General features: G+C 50.9%; 1 protein-coding gene across 3 annotated transcripts in view, besides 2 other annotated features; it reads right to left on the reverse strand.

Moving 5' to 3' along the window:
* The window catches only part of RSPO4 (R-spondin 4), a 43,860-nt gene extending 33,017 nt beyond the window's left edge, over positions 1 to 10,843 (reverse strand). For all 3 annotated transcript variants that reach the window (NM_001040007.3, NM_001029871.4, XM_017027839.2), the window contains exon 1: positions 10,618 to 10,843. In NM_001040007.3, coding sequence (NP_001035096.1) covers positions 10,618 to 10,696 — 79 coding nt within the window. In that variant the 5' untranslated portion in view covers positions 10,697 to 10,843. The remainder of the gene's footprint in view (positions 1 to 10,617) is intronic.
* Positions 14,178 to 14,472: an enhancer, noted in NCBI's record as "tiled region #1111; HepG2 Activating DNase unmatched - State 4:PromP, and K562 Activating DNase unmatched - State 8:EnhW". NCBI's record gives its function as "activates a minimal TATA promoter and a strong SV40 promoter by Sharpr-MPRA in HepG2 and K562 cells {active_cell/tissue: HepG2 | K562}" and the evidence as "EXISTENCE:reporter gene assay evidence [ECO:0000049][PMID:27701403]".
* Positions 14,267 to 14,447: a silencer, noted in NCBI's record as "fragment chr20:986378-986558 (GRCh37/hg19 assembly coordinates)". NCBI's record gives its function as "represses an EF-1alpha promoter that drives an FKBP-Casp9 reporter gene in an ReSE screen in phorbol 12-myristate 13-acetate-treated (for megakaryocytic differentiation) K562 erythroleukemia cells {active_cell/tissue: K562(+PMA)}" and the evidence as "EXISTENCE:reporter gene assay evidence [ECO:0000049][PMID:32094911]".

A 14,854-nucleotide genomic window follows, 5' to 3' on the forward strand; every position in this document is an offset into this window, starting at 1 on the left:
TAATACAAGGAAGCCCTACAAATTGACAAGAAAAATTCAGGAATTCCAATTTTAAAAGTGGGAAAAATAAAAATAAAATGTTTAAAAAGTGAAAAAATAAAATTTAAAATTAAAAATCAGGTGAATAAGAATTACATGATTAAAACAAATTTAAACAGTTAAAATAACATTCAAAAACGAAATTAAGTAACAAAATAAAAATTTAAAAATAAGGTATAAAAATAAAGTGTAAAAATCCATTCAAATAAAAAATACATTTGTAAAATAATTTAAATACATTAAAATTAATAAAAACAAAAATGTTAAAAATAAAAGTAAAATGTTTAAGTGAAATAAAATTTAAAAATGTAAGAATACATGAAAGAATTTTTACGAGTAAAATAAAAAATCAGCTATTTTTAACAATCTAAAGAATAAAGAAAAACTAATAGAAACATCAAAGGAGAGCAAGGTCTTGCTAGATGGATGCTGATGATGTGCTGTGAATTAAGGAGTCCGATTGGCTCAAATGCCTGCAGGGAGGCGGGGGAAGTGAATGACGGGGGTGGTGTAGGGAGTGAGAGGGGACGAGGAAGTAAAAGCATGCCCGCAGGCAGCATCTGATTCGGTTTTTCCAGCCCGCTGTGGGCAGAGGGCAGGAAGTCAGGCCCCATCATGGCTTCCCCCCAAAATAGCCATCACATCATTTATGCATTTGTAATGTGCTGGCAACATACGCACACGCACACGGATGCATGTTACATCATCCCATCCTCACTGCCCCATCCTCACTGCTGTCCTCTGAGGTCCACTTTCTTTTTTTTTTTTTTTTTTTTGAGACGGAGTTTCGCTCTTGTTGCCCAGGCTCTGAGGTCCACTTTCATAGAGGAGTGAACAGAGACTCAGAGAGGGTGGGTCACTGTGCCACAGTCACACAGCACTTAGGACCACCCTATCCTCTGAATCTGGCATGCTCAAAATGACCTTCTTTGGATGAGTTAGGTCTGCTGAGCACTTTCAAACAGAGGCAGGGCCATCTCTGACATCAGGCTCGAACGTTCTGTACACTAGGAAGAGCCCAACCTCTCCCCCCATGACGCATGACAGTTATCACCATTAAAGAAACACTGACTGTCTTCCAGGGGCGTCACATGCATAGTCATCTTGAAAACCATATGAGGTAGATGCTCTTATTGTCCCCATTGTATTGACAGACAACATCGAGATTCAGGAGTCAAATACTGTCACCCAAGCATGGCAGTAACAGAACTGGGAGCTGAGCCCAGGACTGTCCACAGCCCAAATCTCACACTCCCTGCGTGGCACCAGGCCCTTTTAACCGTCATTGATGAGCACTCCCTATGTACCAGCAATGCGTTTGTCTATGTTTCATGCCTCATTTTGCAAATTAGCCAACGGGGGCACAGAAGGGAGAGATGACCTGCCCAAGGTCACTCAGCCAGTAAGTGGCAGAGCCCACAGCCTTCGTGACAGCCTGCCAAGCCCCCAGTGCTCATCCGGGACTTGCTAGAGACAGCTGTGCCCACTGGCCAACCCCAGATCAGGCTCAGAAGGGCAACTGTGACATTCCTTCTCTTCATGTCTCCACCCTGGCGGATGTGGGCTCTGCCATCGGGCTCCAGGGAAAGTGGAGGCTTCCAGTGAAAGGGAGTGGTTTCCCCATGTGGCCTGGGTCCTCTGGGCTTGGGAATGCCTCTGTTTTGAGCTGGTGAAACAGAATTTCCCACCCCCTCCGCAATGGCACATCAGAGCCCCCACTATGGGCCACAGAGCAAGGGCCCTATGAATCATGCTGCATTACTGCAAGAAATCATTCCAGGGCAGGCAGTGGCGGCCCAGCATGGGACAGCAGTGTCCGGGTGGAGTTGGCGTCACCCATCCGGAGATGGGAAGCAGACCATTCCCGAAGGGATCTGGAAGAATCTCCGAGGGCGGGGCTGAGGGCAAATGTGTCCTGGATGCTGCTGTTCCACCGGGCTAGGAAAAAAAGCTCCAGCCCACAGAGACCTGGGAGCACATCACGACCTTTCCCCAGCCTGGCTGTGTGTCCTTGGCAAGTTGATTCCCCTCCCTGAATGTGGAAGGCCTCATCTGTAGAAGAGGGAGAATAATAGGGTCAAGCCACTTCATGGGGCTATAATGTGGGTAGCCTGGGAGGAGGGCTGGCATGGTGGTTATGGACTCAGGCTTTGGAATCAATTGTCTGGATGGAATCCTGGTTTTTGCCAAACTTACTCTGCCAAGCTGTGGGGTAGAAACATGAAATTGCTAATATTTGGCTGTTTATGACCTAGAAAAATGGCAACTGCATATACTTCAATGAATGTGCCTCTCTTTTAACTGCTTCCTCCTCTGTAAAATGTGGGTAATAACAGGCCCCTCAGAGGGGTGCTGTGAGGATGAAATAAGGCTGGGAGGCAATTAAGTTCAGTAGTTAGAGCTGGGCTCTGGGGCAAGGAAGGATTTGAACCTTGGCTGAGTGGCCTTGGGCAAAGTTACTTAACCTTCCTGTGCCTCAGTTTTCTTGTCTGTAAAATAGGAATGCTACTGCCCACTGCACAGGTTTATTAAGGTAATTTAATCAATTAATACATACAAAGTACATAGAACAGTGTCTGAAATTGTTACATAAAAGAATGCAGGTAACATCTGGCATCTCCTGCACCCTCATGTCTACTCACATAAATGCTCAACCACGAAACAAAATCCAAAGTGACTTTTGTAAACCTTTGATGCCAATGAAAGTTAAGTATTTTTAAAGAAAAAATATGTTTTGGGGAACATACATGTGTGTAGAGATGTAGGTGAGGAGTGTGCTCCCCAGGGTCCACCCCCAGGGCTGTTCTATGTCCTGATGGTGCCTATAGCCCAAGACTCTGAGGACAGGACTAGCCTTGAGGCCATGATGGCCCCGTGGCTTGGTCTCTTTCACAAAATCACACAGCCAAACCTCAGACCCTATGGAGAGGCTCCACTTGCCTAGGTAACTCTAGAGGCCCTTAAGAGGCACCCAGCCCTGGGCTGGCCTCTGATTATTAAGAAATTCCTGCAGACAGCCTTGGATGTGCGAAAGCCCTCCAGCTTCCATCCTGTCTTAATTTTTTTTTAGACGAAGTCTTGTTCTGTCACCCAGGCTAGAGTGCAGCAGTGCAATCTCAGCTCACTGCAACCTTTGCTTTCCAGGTTCAAGTGATTCTCATGCCTCAGCCTCCTGAGTAGTTGGTAGTTGGGATTACAGGTGTGCACTAACACACCCAGCTAATTTTTGTATTTTTAGTAGAGATGGGGTTTCACCATGTTGGCCAGGCTGGTCTCGAACTCCTGGCCTCAGGTGATCTGCCTGCCTCAGCCTTCCAAAGTGCTGGGATTACAGGCGTGAGCCACTGCGCCTGGCTCCATCCTGTCTTCTGACATTTGTCCCAGCCCTGGGAAAAAAGGCAAAGCACACTGAGCATTTCCAAGTCACGCGGGGGGAAACTGAGGCTCTGAGAGGCTCTCAACCTATCAGGCTCTGGAGCAGGCTGCCTTCCTCTACCAATTCAAGTTTTGCCTTCACCGCTAGTCTCCTGAACCCTCACTTCTACTCACAGCTGGGTGACCTTGAGTAAGGTACTTCCCTGCTTGAGTCTCCAATTTTACAAGGATTGGTCTCAAAGGTCTCACTTGGCCTTTTTGGCCTTATCACTTCATTATTCTAGAACCCTTCTCCAGAATTTCAGAGAGAAAATGAAAGCTGAATTGCTCTGCAAACTATAAAGTGCTACACAAACAAGAAGGTGGTTAATGGCAGCATTAGATGGGTTTTCAGAAGTCTACCGTAGGCAGGATTTGCTGTGGGTTTTGGAATTAAGAAGACCCAGCTCACACATGTATTTGCGACGTTACTTTGGATAAGCCAGTTCCCCTCTCTGAACCAACTTCCCTCTTCTGTAAGCTGGCGGTAGAGGCATATCCACCAGGCAGGACTGGGGTGAGGACCAAAGGAAAGGAGCGTGCAATGTCTGCCACGCCCTGGCCGAGCAGAGGTGTTTGATGCAGGAGGAGATTTAGGGCCCCGACACATCATTCCACCTTCCAGGAGCTAAAATCCACACACCTGGGGAATGATGTAGCTGTCAGATTCAGGGCGATTAGAAACAAGCATCTGAACTAAGGCAATTGTTTGGAGCTCCAGAGACAGACTCTCTGGGCTTACATCCCAGCACCCCTGTCTGTTGCTATACCACCCACTGGGCCTCAGTCTCCTCATCTATAATATAAAGATCCTCCTGGAATCTGCCCCTTACAGCTGTCAGGAGGGCCTCCATTAGGCCATGACTGAAAGGGGCTGAGCACAGAAGATGGGCTCAGCTGGTCCAGCAGCCTCCACACTATTTTGACAATGGTATCAGTAGACACAGTAGTACACACGTGCACATGCATGCACACACTCACATACATCCACATATATGTGCATGCACACTCACCCACTCATACACCCATTCACATATATGTGTAAACTGAAACACATTTCTCAAAATAATAGTTTTCACACTTGCAATGCACTCTGATATATTCTAAAAAGGAGGTTGGCAAAAATCGCAGCCTCTGGACCAAATTTGGATGTTTTTGTGTTGCCTGTGAGCTAAGAAGAGTGGAGTACATGACAGATTGTATGTGGTTTGCAAGGCCTAAAGTATTTACTATCTGACCCTTCGCAAAAAATGTTTGCTGACCCCACTCTATTTTAGTCAGTGCTATTCCATTCCGTTCTGTTCCGTTCCATTCCATTCCGTTACCATTCCATTCCATTTCATTAGAAAATGCTGGCTATTGCTAAATTTATTGTCCTCACCTGCTGATGCATTGTAAACCTCAGCTTGGAAAACTTTAAACTAATGGGAGCTTCAGTTTTTTCACCAGATGGGAGGATGGATGAACAAACCGTATCCATGTGACACCTTAGCCAAGCAACCTCCCCTCTTTGTCTTGGATTCCTCGGCTGAGGCTGAGACCACCACCACCAGCCTGCTCTCAAGGGTGTGTTGAGGTGCAGCCTCAGAGGTCTTGTCCATGATGTTCTCATTGACGGATCTCAAGAGCCCAATAGTAAATACTTTAGGCTTTTTGCACCACATACGATCTGTTGCCTATTCCAGTATTCTTAGCTTGAAGGCCATACAAAAATAGTCCTGTGGCGGCAGAAATGGAGGAACACCCATCTCTGCTGTCCTTTTCAATACCCAGCCCAGGGCCTGGCCCACAGGAAGGACCCAATAAGTATTTCTTCATGGTGATGGTGACTGGAGAGTGGCACCCAAGGCCCTCCATGACGGGACTCTGGCCCAATCTGCAATCAGAACTTCACTTCCTTCGGCCACGCAGTCCCTTGTCCCCTCCACCTGGCCACACTCTCTCCTCATCCTGCAGAGGTCCTCACCTTACTGCCACCTCTGCCTGACAAAATCCTAAATCCTACTCCCCCCGATGGGGTTCCTCTCAGACACTTACACCTTGCAGCCCTGGCAAATCACTGGCATGATTCATTTCTATATCTATTGCACGGGCTTCGGAGCCTCCAAAACTCTGGGTCCAGGTCCTGGCTCAGCAGCTGTGAGCTCTTTGGCAGGCCATTGATGCTTTCTGAGCCTCAGTTCCCGTGTCTGGGAAATAGGCATAACACAAGGCAGTGGCAGAGTGAGGACGCGCAGCCCCACCTGCACAGCTCCTGGCACATGGCCCGCCTCCCTCCTTCCTCAGTGGCCTCAATCTCAGTGGCCTGAATCTCCTTCAGTGGCTGGGCAGGGGGGTTGGATGGTTTCCGTCCACAGGAGAGGGAGGTGGGGCCCCCCGTGGTGGGGCAATGGGATGGAAAAGCAGCATCTCTTTTGCACCCAGGCTTGGCTTCAGAACGCTGAGTGGAAGAAGGATGGCAAATGGAGCTCAATTGATTGACCACCTACTATCTGCCAAGCATTCAGATTTCCATTTCTCAACCAGCCCCTATGCTATGAAGAAACCGAAGCCGAGAGACCCAAGGTTACATTCTATTAAGACTCAGCGCCATTCCCTCAGCCCTCAATGTCCAGTCATTACCCACCCCTGCCCTGTAGGAATCCCTTTCAGAACTACCCCTGCATCTAAACCTGGCTTCACCTGGATGCCAGCACTCAGGGGACATACTTTGTTCGTGCCCAGCGATGGCGCCTGCTTGCCCAGGGCCTGGTGCATCTGTCTGTGTACAGGAGACAGTGCTGTCTGCCTGGCCCTCCACAAGGGGCTTTGCAATTTAAACGGAAGCATCATATTCACTCCACATAACAGGCCTCTGGAGTGGGCACTGCCACAGTCAATTTACAATAAAGAAAAACAAGCTCAGAGAGAGGAGAAGGTTTGCTCCGGATGCACCACAAGCAAGAGGCAGAGGTGAGCTTAACCCACGTGAGACCCCACTCCCTTCCGGTCCAGGGCATGTCTGCTCTGCTGTAAAATGGGAAGGGAAAGTGGTCAAATCCTTATGAAGCCCCTACTGTGTGCCTTTGGCCCCCTTCCCTCTTGGACTGCAGTAAATCTTCCCAATTGCTCAGAGAGGTAGGTGTAAGTTTTCCCATTTCACAGATGGGGAAGCACGGACGGGAGAAGGCATGTGGCCTGCTTAATGTCACATATCTAGGGCAGGAGAGGGCTCAAGGTTTGATCCCAGGGCTCTTCACTTTGCCCCTTGCTTGCTCAGGTCTAGAAAGATCCAGAAGCTCCATGTGAATGTGGGGGTCCCTCCCCAGAAGGCCTTGGATGTCAGGGAAAGTCAGTCACAGGCTGGCATCTCCTCCTTGCCCAAATGGACCTCCAGATCTAGGGATGCGAACCAGGGCCCCCTCACTCTGCCCTACTGTCCCATTGCCAGGACACCCCAGCATGTTTCAAAAAAATGTCCCCATCTGGTTCTGATTCATTTACACTTCATTAATCAACATGCTGTTTTGTAAGAGACACTTGAGATCCAAGAATCTTTCTCAAGTCTTTTACTTCATTCTTTCTTAGAAACAGAAAAATTGGGCTTCATTAAGACGCAGTGACGCCGGAGCCTGAGGAAGGATGGGCCTGTGGGAACCAGGCCTCAAGCAGGCTCAGAGAGGGCAGATGCCAGCCCAGCACCTCATTCCTCGGGATTGTGCAGACCTGGCCAAACGCTAAGGCCAAAGACTCAGGCATGGGGGAGGCTGGAGAAAGGTGGGAAAGGGTCATCCCTCTATGTTGGCAGCTCCCCAAGGACAGGCCCAGGGCTGCTCACCTGGGTATCTCCAAGGTCCCCAACACAGAGCCTGGCACAGAGGCTGCCCTGTGAAATGAACAAGTGAATGAATGAAGCACTGCCAATACCCAGGTGTTTTCAGGACACATTCTCCTGCCAAAGTTAGATAAGGTCAAAGCTGGTAGGACCCTGAGGGATTGTGTACAGAATTTTCCAAGCAGATGCCTTATGAGAAATGGTCTCTGATGTGTAATATGTTTGGGAAAGGTCACTCTCTCTCGCTCTCTTTTTTTTTTTTTTTTTTTGAGACAGGGTCTGCTCTGTCGCCCAGGCTGGGGTGCAGTGGCACAATCACGGCTCACTGCAGCCTTGATGTCTTTCCTGGGCTGAAGCGATCCTCCCACTTCGGCTTCCTAAGTAGCTGGGACTACAGGTGTGCACCACCACCAACATGCCTGGCTATTTTTTGTATTTTTTTATAGAGACAAAAAATGTATTTTTTGTAGAGTTTTGCCATGTTGCCCAGGCTGGTCTCGAACTCCTGAGCTCAAGCTATCCTCCCATCTTGGCCTCCCAAAGTGCCAGGATTATAGGCTTGAGCCATCGCACCTGGGTTACACTGTCTGTCTCCACCTCTTCAGCATGCTCTGATAAGTCTCACAGCCAAGAAATCTGCTAAACCCAGCATTTCCCAATCTATTTGACCAGAACTCCTGTGGCTGCCTTGCAAAATATGCTACAGGAAGGGTTTATCTAGCTCTGGTCCCCACTGCAGTGCCAGTGGGAAACTGAGGCTATGGGCGGGGGACAGAGAAAATCCACTCACCCAAGGTCACATGATACAACTGGGTCAGGGGTGTGACTGAAATCCAAGGCTATCTCCATTGTACCCCAACAAATAAATGGAGCCCTAAGCCTCTTCTGAAGATGCTAGGCAGGTGTGTGTCCCAGAGGCAAGAGATCAGGTACTGGAGGAGGGATGCTGAGAGCCCCTCACCAAATTGCGGCCATATCCCTACCTCCTCACTGAGCTCCTGGGGAGGTGGTGGTGAGCTGTAGATGGGGCGGGGGGCAAAAGGGGCAGGATAGGAATTTTTCATTTTTCTTTAATTTTTTTGTCTTTTTTGAGCTGAGAAGCATCTTAAAGTCTTCTAAACCAGCTCCTTTTTGTTGTTGTTGTTGTTGTTGAGACAGAGTCTCACTCTGACACCCAGGCTGGAGTGCAGTGGCATGATCTCGGCTCACTGCAACCTCTGCCTCCTGGGTTCAAGCGACTCTCCTGCCTCAGCCTCCCAAGTAGCTGGAATTACAGGCGCCCGCCACCACACCCAGCTAATCATTGTATTTTTAGTAAAGACAGGGTTTCATCATGTTAGCCAGGCTGGTCTCAAACTCCTGATCTCAAATGATCCGCCTGCCTTGGCCTCCCAAAGTGCTGGTATTACAGGCGTGAGCCACCACACCTGGCCTAAACCAGCTCCTCTTTAGATGAGGAAACTGAGGCTCTGAGAAGGGAAGACCAGCACACCTCAGAAGATATCTTCTCAGCATTATGTCAGGCAGATTGGGATTCGAGCCTGCTTTGCTACTCACCTGCTGTGCGACCTTGGACAAGTCAGTTTCCTTCTCTGAACCTCAGTTCCCTCATCCAGAAAACAAGCATCTCTCCCCTCCCTCCACTAAGCCACTGTGAGTAGCCAAAGACACAGTGGACAGGAAATGAGAATGATTAATACTTACGAGCACCCATTAGGAGCCTGTGTCCTTAGCTACTCATCTTGCCCACAATCCTCCTTATGAGCAGGATACTTAAGTAAAAGATGGGTTGATGAAGGGAAAGGGGGTTTGTTTGATTTTTTGGTATTGTTTAGAATGGAGAAAGATCTCAGAGATCTTCTAAAGGACCCTCAGATGGGTAAAGTGAGGATTGGACAGGCAAAGTGACTTATCCAAAGTCACTCAGTTGGTAACTGGGGAAGCTGGGATTTGAACTCAGTTGACCTGGCTCCAGAGCCCATGCCCCTAACTACTAAACAAAGGCCATTCACAAAGGAGTGTCCCCATAGAGTCCCAAACTCACCCCAGCTCAGCTGAAAACCACACGCCTCTCTAGTCCCTTGTCCCACTGTCACAGCAAGAACTGGAGCCTCTTGGGCCACAGTCTCCCCAACCCCATCCAATCCCACCTCCCAATTCTCCCACAGCCTCTGTCTGCTTCCTGCTCCGTTCCAGGAGTGACTGTGTCGCTGTAGGGCTTTCACACAAATGGAAGGCCCCAGAGGGCAACCCATCCTCTCTCATTTTCCTTCCCCTTTATCCTTGCTCAGACCCGATGCCAGGGCTGGAAAGAGAGAAGACACCAGCTGGACAATTCAGCAGTTATTTAAACCAGTCTGAGCCTTGGAATCCCAGGCTTTATTAAAACTGGACGACCCCTATGTCATGAGCATATAGTTGGGATTTGATGAGCTAGGACATGAAAAACCCGTGGCATAGTGGCTGGCATTCGGCTGCTGATCTTAAGAGTGGCACCTGGAGGCCAAAGGGCTGCCCAGCTCAGGCAGGCGATTTGCTCACTTGCTCACCCGCTTACCCTTCTCTGAGGCACAGGCTCTACCAACTCCTGCTCTGCAGGGACAGCCTCCAACCCACCTTCTGAGGATGTTCTGACTCTCACAGCGAGGCTGTGGCATAGGACTCCCAGGTGAGAGCGCATGCGGCCCCTGGTACATTTATAATCTGAACCTTGGCTCATCTTCCTAGTGGCCTGAGAGGTGAAGATGGAAAAGCTGAGGCTCTCTGAGGGGCTGGACTTCTTCTAGGTCATCCCCTATTAGAATAAGTGAACCTGAACTCAGGTCTCAGGTCTGGCTGAACTCAACATAGGGGGGCCATGGAGGATCACTGCCCTCTGGGAGGTGACACCAGGAGTCAGGGTGAGTGATGAGGCTGGGACTGGGGCCTCTGGACGCCCAGCCCAAGGCTCTCTATGTCACTTCCTGGCCGAGCATGGATGCTTGGAATGGCTTCTACGCCACTGAGTCTGTCTCCTAGTCCCTGTGCCCCGCAGGCTGGCTCTTGAGTCTTCTGTCTCTGCACGAAGCCATCCTCCTTTCTGCTGACCATGCGGCTACTACAGAGAGCCCTGCTACCCTCTCCCTTCTGGGTGAGTCTCCTTGGCCCACCCTACTCAATGGCTCGCTCACTGGGTGCCCTGGAGCCTCAATCTCCCCATCTTAAGTGAGGTTGAGACTCGTCTGGAGGAGCGAAGGACCCAGGGCGCCAGGCACCAGGCAGATGCCCCCAGAGCCGCCGCCCCCGGTCCTCCGGCCCCCGGTCTGCCCCGCAGCGCCTGCCCGGCCGCCCTGCCCAGCCACCCCTTGTACCTTGCTTCTTCCTTCGGTTCAGGGCGAGCATGTCCACGGCGTGGGCGACGAGCAGGAGCAGGCAGAGTGGCGCCCGCATCTGGGCAGCCGGATCCGGGCTGGCGCTCCCCAGGCGGCCCGACGGCCCAAGGGCCCCACGTCCCGGCGGCGGCACGGCGGGCGCGGGGGCTGCTGTGGGCGCGCCGGGCGCATCCGCCAGGCGCGGGTCGGTCCGGCCGCCAGGTCTAGTGAGGGCGTTGGCGGAGCCGGGGCACTGCCCTGGCGGGGAGGAGCCGGCGCGGCGGGGGCGGCGCGTTAACCAGCTCGGGGCCCGGGAGCGCGCGCGGGGAGGGGGCGGGGGTCACCCGGGTCGGGGCCCTCGAGTTCGATCTGTCCCGCAGCCGGCGGTCTTGCGTCTTTCCCGCCCCCAGCACTGCCCCCGAGCACGTGCACGTGCCCACCGCCAGCCACAGGTACGCACGCGCGCGCAGGTACAGATGCGCGGACACCCGGAGACCCGTACGGTCCCCCGCGCCCTCTCAGCGCCTGTGATTTTCTTTCCCTCCCCCCAGTCCCCTTTCTCTGTCTGTTCCTCCTTCTGGCCCTTAAGGACAACTCCTTGTCTCCTGCTTTCTCGGTCTTTCCGCGGCCCGCGCTCCCCTGCTCTGCCCCCGACCCTGCCTGGCTGTTCCTGCATCCTTTACTCTTGCCGGCCGTCTCTCTCTCAGGCTCACTGTCTGTGTCCTCCTGGCTGGGCCTCTGGTTCTCCCTTTTCTCTGTCTCTCCCTTCAACCCCATCTCTCCCCTTCTCCCCTCCTGCAGGGTGGGGTGTTTGCGGGGCTCCTGCTGCCTGGCTTTCTCTTTTTCTCTCTACTCTGTCTCATTCTTTTAACAGAGGCCTGAGCCCCTTCTGGCCACTAACCCTGAATGTTTCCTGTGCAGTCTGCGGGGATCATCTACTCCGACTCAAAGTGACCAGCACCTCATAAATCCACTTGTGACAGGGCTGGGGACCTGGACTGTGTTTCCTCCAACCTTATCACCAGGACTGGGAGCAGCTGGTTCAAGTTTAACCCTTTCAGAGCAAAATTCCTCCTTCAACCCGACAGCATGCTCACCTCTCCTGTCACTATAACCACCAAAAACAACAACAATCATGCTAGCTATCATTTGTGAGGCATATATGGTGGGCATTGCTAAGAACTTGACATATACTAGAGTCTTCAAAACAACCCAATGGTTTGGGTTTGTATTCTGAGTAATTCCACTTTTCTGGGGAGCAAAGGGAAGCTCAGAGAGGCCAAGTGACTTGCCCAAGGCCACACAGCAGGTCAGTGGCCATTCTGGTCCAGTGCCTGCCCCTCTTAGCCACTTCTCAGGCACAGACTCATCAGAATGGAAGAGGCCTTGGAGGGAGGCCTAGAGAAACTTACAGTTGACACTCTCTTGCTGAACAATTGTCCTTCCTTTTTCTTTTCTTTTTTTTTTCTTTTTTTTGAGATGGGTTTTCACTCTGTCACCCAGGCTGGAGTGCAATGGCGCCATCTCGGCTCACTGCAACCTCTGCCTCCTGGGTTCAAGTGATTCTCCTGCCTCAGCCTCCCAAGTAGCTGGGATTACAGGCACCTGCCACCACACCCAGCTAATTTTTGTAGTTTTTAGTAGAGACGGGGTTTCACCATGTTGGCCAGGCTGGTCTTGAACTCCTGACCTCAAGTGATCCACCTGCCTCAGCCTCCCAAAGTGCTGGGACTACAGACGTGAGCCACCCCACCCAGCCTGTCCTCTTTTTTCCTACATGTGGAGCTTGCTCCAAAAGAAATGGAAGGTAAATGCTGGTATCTCCTCCAGCTCCTTCTCCCAGTGCAATGAGGGACACTTGAAGGCATGGCAGGGGCAGGGGAAACACACAGAGAGTGTGGCAGCTGAAGGTACAGCCCTGGCCTGGCCATTCTTTCTGTGGGGCCCCAAGAACGCTGGCAGACAACACGGAGAACTTGGTGGAATGTCAGAGACAGCCCACCCAAAGTGCTCCATTTCACAGATGAGGCCACTGAGCCTTCAGGACTGGGGGGTGCCTAGATTAGGCCACCCAGTGAGTCAAGGACTGAGCTGACATGGGCATCCAGGTGTCCCATTGTGGTCATCACCATGGCCTGCAAGGACCTCTTGTTCTGATATCTCTGATCTCAGTCTTTCCCACTGCCCCACCCCTCTCTCTTTAGCCTTAGAGATTTCAGCCCTTGAATATTTCACAAACACCACAGGCCTCTCACACCTCTGAGCTTTTCATGTTGTGGGGCCTCTCCATGGAATACCATCCTATATCCTACCTCCTTCTTCACTGCCTCTGCTCCAGGAAGCCTTCCCTGATTCTCAGGCCAGGTCCAGTGCCTCCTCTGGGCATCCACAATCTCTTTATCACAGCTCTGATCACATCAGGTGGTAACAATGGATGTGTCTGTTCTCCTTCCAAACTGCCATCTCTTTCAAGCCAGAGCCAGACACACAGCGGTGCTCAGAATGTTTGCATAATGAGTGCATAAATAAATGAATGGTGAATGAATGAATTCTCCAGATGCACAAGTCTCCCAGCCTGTACATGGAATGCAGGTACTTGGAGAAATGAGGTGACCCCAGAAGATCAAGCCTTAGGAAAGCGGAGGTCATTCCCTTCCCCACTACCCCCAGTACTGGAGTCTCCAAAGTCCAAAGGGGACAGCTTCCATGTGAGCAGGGCCAGAGAGGTCCAATGTGCATTGTGAATTGACAGCCAGCCACACGGCTCTGCAGGATGAAGCTGCTTACCCCTTCTTGAATTTTTTCCCCTATTTATTCCCCACTGCCTCTGCTCTAGCTAGCCTCGTGTTTCTCAGACTCTTGTCACTCATCCTGCGGTTTTTGCTGTTCTCTCTGCCTGGAAAGTCTTTCCCCAGATTTGGGGCTTGTCTCCCCTCGATGTTGCCTCCTCAGAGAGGCCCCCTGTGACCACTCCAGTAAAACGCACCACCATGCACTTTATCCTCTTGTCTTGCTTTACCCTCCGTAGTACCTGTTCATGTCTGTCAGTTCCTGTTTGCTTGTTTGTGAGTTCCATGAGGACAGGAATCTTCTATTTTGTCCCTATGTGCCTTACACTGCAGTGATTAAGACATACTTGTGGAATGGATTTTTTTAAAAAATGAGTGAATGAATAAGCACTCATTCATCCATAGATTCATTGTGGGACCTCAAGTACTTTCTGTTCTCTTAGGCTCAATTTCCCCAGTTGTTCAATGGCACAGATGGGATTTTGTGTTCTGTGAGAGCCCCTTTAGTGCTTCCAGAATTGGATATTTCTAGGGTTCTAAGGCCCAGAACTCAGGGCCCTTCATACCCCAAGATGCTCAGAGGGTGTTTGGTTCTCTAACTATGGGGGCTGTCTGGGCATCTTGGCCTGTTATCCAGTTCCCCTACCCCAATACAGGTGCCCAGGGAGGCTAGTGATGCTGATGGCATGCTCTGGCGGGGGGCGGGGAGGGGTGCACCCAAGGGTGTCAGTTAAGGCACCATTGTCACAAATAGATGAAGACAGGTATAATGGCTGAAACACACTAAGCTCACAGCATGTGTTCCTGATCAGCAGATCCTTCTCTGTGGGATAGCAGGAACTCAGATTCCTTTCAGCTTGTGTTCTGCCCTGTTCAGTACCTGGTTTAAAGCTCACCGAGAAGGGCAGGGCTTATGGGAAGTACAGAGCCTGTCTACCTATGTCCCATTGGCCAGAACTCAGACACACGGCCACACCTACCTGCAAGGGTGACTGGGAAATGTAGTCCAGCCATGTGCCAGACAACACACAGGAGGAAAAGCAAGAATTTGGTGAACATCTGGCCCATTGACCAACGTTGGGCCACCCTCATTTCTTGCCCCAGTCATGCAGTAGCTCCTTCCTGTGTCTGCTCTGACCCCTACAAGCTCTTCTTAAGCAGCCAGAGGACATGTATTATTCATCGGGTGAAGACCAAATTTCTCCTCAGAGATGCAAGGGCTACGTGATGGCCCCTACTAGGGGGCCATCTGCTAGGGTGACCAGCTGTCTGGTTTGCCAGGGATTGAGGGGCTTCCTAGGATGCAACGTTGACCTGTGTGTAGCCTTGTATAATACAACCACAATCAAGATATTTAAACATACTTAAACAAGATACTAAAACATCATCACAAGACTCCTTCATGGTATCCATTTATGGCTCCACCCTCCCTCTCCACTTCCAGTCCT

This window comes from Homo sapiens, chromosome 20 (assembly GCF_000001405.40).
Source record: "Homo sapiens chromosome 20, GRCh38.p14 Primary Assembly".
In the NCBI taxonomy this organism is placed as follows: Eukaryota; Metazoa; Chordata; class Mammalia; order Primates; family Hominidae; genus Homo; species Homo sapiens.